The 4352-nt window shown below is 42.4% G+C and overlaps 1 annotated feature.

The window, feature by feature from the left end:
- Nucleotides 870-1533: an enhancer, noted in NCBI's record as "NANOG hESC enhancer chr5:33362859-33363522 (GRCh37/hg19 assembly coordinates)". NCBI's record gives its function as "activates a minimal SCP1, AML or CMV promoter by ChIP-STARR-seq in primed H9 embryonic stem cells {active_cell/tissue: H9 hESC(primed)}" and the evidence as "EXISTENCE:reporter gene assay evidence [ECO:0000049][PMID:30033119]".

The following is a 4352-nucleotide window of genomic DNA, read 5'->3' as shown; positions in this document are numbered from 1 at the left end:
GTTTTCAAATGCTGTTCCCACAAGGCTCCATCCATGGAGGCACTTTAAGTATTCTGCAAATATTTTCTTTGAACTTCCTTAAAAAATGTGGTCAATTCTTTATTTTAGTACTAGTCCTTATTTTGGTTTTCTTTTCCAATCTTTCTCTTAGAATTCAGTTTTCACTAAACTTTACCAACACTAATAATAAATTAGCCTCATCTCTTTGTCATGAAATCTCTAAAGTAATGATTCCCAAACCACCATGGAAAAAGCATACATTCTTGATGCCAAAATGAATTTTTGAAAAGGTGCTTTCTTCTTATGTACCTTAGTAAAATAATTTTTTGGAAGTCCATTCTCTTTGGTGGATCTTGAAGCCTGGGAAGACCCATTCTGGAGTGAGACAATGTCTTCACAGAATAGGAGTTGTGCAAGTTAGGGTTTTGGTTTTTGTTTTTGGAGTGTGTGCGTGTGTGTGTGTGTGCAGTAAGTCATTAAATCAAGGCTGAAGCTTTAACTCCATAGAGGCTAGTGGAAGGAATGTTCCTCATCTTGTAAAAACCATTTCCAAGGAACAGTTTAAAAGAAATAATTTGGGCCAGGAACTGTGGCTTACGCCTCTAATCCCAGCAATCTGGGAGGTTTGAGGCCAGGAGTTTGAGGTTCAGTGAGCTATGATTTCACCACTGCGCTCCAGCCTGGGTGACAGGGTGAGACCCTGTCTCTTAAAAAAAAATGAGGATAAAGTTGCCAAGTTTAGTAAATTAAAATATGGGATGCTCAATTAAATTTGAATTTCAGACAAATAAATGATTTTTTAAAAGTACATCATATTTGGGACATATGCTAAAAACATTTGTCGTTTATCTGAAATTCAAATATAGCTGAAACTTGTTGTTTTTCTGAAATTCAAAAATAAGTTGTTTTGTTTTTCATCTGGTGACCCTCTTGAGTTAGCTGCTTTTGTCTGGTATATTCAGAATTCCAGATTTATTCATTTATAGTCATTCCTCCTGTAACTGTCTTTCCAGTGTGCTGAGGTCCTGCAAGACTCAGAGCCAGGAGAAATTCCTATGTACTCTGCCACTGACACTTCCTGCACTTAGTGACCTCAAAGAGGTTGACCCCAGGGCAATGAGAAACAAAAGAGGAAAATCAAGTCATGGGTCCCTGTGAAATCTTTTCTTTCAGGGCTGACCTTGATGTTTTGCAGCCTCCCGGTGGCCTGGCTCAAGTGGTTTAGTGTTGAAATTCTTTTAAGTGATTGTGTTAGTTTCCTTTTCGTAAACCTTATCTCTTCCTTGGAGTGTGTTTTAGTTTGCCTGGATGGAGTTGAGTATTCCATCGACTCCCTGAGTCCTCACGTCAGACTTGGTTTCTGTGGGATTTCTCTTTGCTTATTTGCTTTAGGAAGAGGCTCATTGATAAAAGAAGGCAGCCATCTGGGGGCCAGGGAGTCCTCTGGTGCAGTGGCCCACTTGGGACCCTGCCTCCTTCTCAGACTGCAGGGAGTTAACTAATAATCATGGGATGTTTAAGCTGTGAAGCACCTTAACGTGATAAAGGAGCATGGGAAGGGGTCCCCTCACCCCTCCTCCCTTAGTAGTTTCACTTTTTGTCTGTTATACACTGTAGGTTCTCCTGAAAGATGATCATTTGATGAAAGGATTCTGCAGCTAGAAATAAGCTATAAAACCAATTCTTAATTATGGCCCTGGCCCATTACAAATAAGGAATCTGAAGCCCAGAGAGGCTAAGCGACTTGCCAAAGATAGTACAGCAGATTAGCAGCAAAAAGTGGGAAAATAAAAGCCCAGTTCCTCCAACTTCCACATGGTAATTTTTATTCAAGACTATGAGAGATAATGTCCCAAGTCCTTAACACCATTACATGAGGAATTTACTAGTCGGATTATGCACGTTTCAAGGCTCAGGCAAGAACTCCTTGGCTCTCCAGTTCACACGCCCTTTATTCGTGATCAAGGAGGGTTGGGGATTGTTTTGATTGCTACTGGGAGAGAAGTGCGGAGTAGGAATGTGTTAAGGCATAAAATGTAAATACCTGGGAGAAGCTAGACAACCATTCTATTCCACACTCATAGAATAAGTAAATAGATATGAATTTGTTGCCTGAGAAAAATGTTTCATGGAGGAGAGCGTAGAACAATCTTGGACTCTACAGTTGGAACACTTAGGTGGATTGTCTTTAGGGTAGAAATGGATTCCAAGAGCAGGGGAATGTGACCATGGCATACATACTTCTCAGTTTTTCTTAAGCTAGTCCTTTTTATGGTATTTCATCACCTCTGGGTGTGAGACAAATGTGGAATTCTCTTTTCTCTTTCCTGCTTCTTTGCTGAAATGTGAGACTAGGTACTTCACTTTCTCTCTTGTGTCATGTACTTGTATTATTTGTAAACCTTTCCCTGAGGGATTCTCCATAGTTCTTTATTATATTGTTCCTCAAACACTTCAGGCAACAATAGGGAATCACAAATGCTAGGAACTATAGCCCCAAATGTCCCTTATGCTTTCCTTGTATGTAGAAAAATGTGCCATGTCACAAGGAACAGAATAATGAGATGTTTAAGGACTCGGGGTTTGGATTCAAACAGACCTGGATTTAAGTCTAGCTTTGACTTTTCTTAACATGTGACTTTCAGTAAGTTATTTTTATCTCTCTGAGCTCAGTTTCTTCAAATATGAAAGAGGTGGATTGGGAGCTAGTAATAGCCCATTCTTCATAGGATTGTTGTGAGGCTTAAATGAGAAATGTGTATGAAGTGTGATATGGCTTGGCTGTGTCCTGACCCAAATCTCATCTTGAATTCCCACATCTTGTGGGAGGGACCCGGTGGGAGGTAATCGTGGAGGCAAGTCTTTTCCATGCTGTTCTTATGATAGCAAATAAGTCTCACCAGACCTGACAGTATTATAAAGGGAGTTTCCTCACCCAATCTCTCTCTTTGCCTGCCATCATCCACATAAGATGTGAGTTGCTTCTCTTTGCCTTCTGCCATGATTGTGAGGCCTTCCCAGCCATGTGGAACTGTAAGTCATTAAACTTCTTTCTTTTGTAAATTGCCCAGTCCTGGGTATGTCTTTATCAACAGTGTGAAAATGGACTAATACAGTAAATTGGTACCAGTAGAGTGTAGAGTAGGGCGCTGCTGGAAAGATACCTGAAAATGTGGAAGTGACTTTGGAACTGGGTAACAGGCAGACGTTGGAACAGTTTGGAGGGCTCAGAAGAAGACAGGAAAATGTGGGAAAGTTTGGAACCTCCTAGAGACTTGTTGGATGGCTTTGACCAAAAGCCTGATAGCAATATCAGCAATAAGGTCCAGGCTGAGGTGGTCCCAGGTGGAGATGACGAACTTATTGGGAACTGGAGCAAAGGTGACTCTTGTTATGTTTTAGCAAAGAGACTGGTGGCATTTTTGCTCTTGCCTTGTGGAACTTTGAACTTGAGAGAGATGATTTAGGATATCTGGCAGAAGAAATTTCTAAGCAGCAAAGCATTCAAGAGGTGACTTGGCTGCTGTTAAAGTCATTCAGTTTTATAAAGGAAGCAGAGCATAAAAATTTGGAAAGTTTGCAGCCTGACAATGTGATAGAAAAGAAAAACCCATTTTCTGAGGAGAAATTCAAGCAGCTACAGAAATTTGCATAAGTAACGAGGAACTGAACGTTAATCGCCAAGACAATGGAGAAAATGTCTCCAGGACATGTCAGAATTCTCAATTCTAGGAGAAAATGGTTTAGTGGGCCAGGCCCAGGGTTCCTGTGCTGTGTGTGGCAGAGACTTGGTGTCCTGTGTCCCAGCTGCTCCAGCCATGGCTGAAAGAGGCCAACATAGAGCTTGAGCTGTGGCTTCAGAGTGTGCAAGCCCCAAGCCGTGGCAACTTCCACGTGGTGTCGAGCCTACAGGTGCACAGAAGTCAAGAATTGAGGTTTGGGAACTTCTGCCTAGATTTCAGAAGATATATGGAAACTCCTGGATGTCCAGGCAGAAGTTTGCTGCAGGGGTGGGGCTCTCATGGAGAATCTCTACTAGGGCAGTGCAGAAGGGAAATGTGGGGTCGGAGAGCCCCCACACAGAGTCCCTACTGAGGCACTGCCTAGTGGAGCTGTGAGAAAAGGGCCATCATCCTCCAGACCCCAGAATGGTAGATCCACTGACAGCTTGCACCATGAACCTGGAAAAGCTGCAGACACTCAACACCAGCCTGTGAAAACAGCTGGGAGGGAGGCTGTACCCTGCAAAGCCACAGGGGTGGAGCTGCCCAAGAACATGGGAACCCACCCTTTGCTTCAGTGTAACCTTGATGTGAGACATGGAATCAAAGGAGATTATTTTGGAGCATTAA

This window comes from Homo sapiens, chromosome 5, assembly GCF_000001405.40.
Source record: "Homo sapiens chromosome 5, GRCh38.p14 Primary Assembly".
Lineage (NCBI taxonomy): Eukaryota > Metazoa > Chordata > Mammalia > Primates > Hominidae > Homo > Homo sapiens.
Note: the sequence above shows the minus strand (reverse complement) of the source record. Positions and strands in the feature narration are given on the sequence as shown.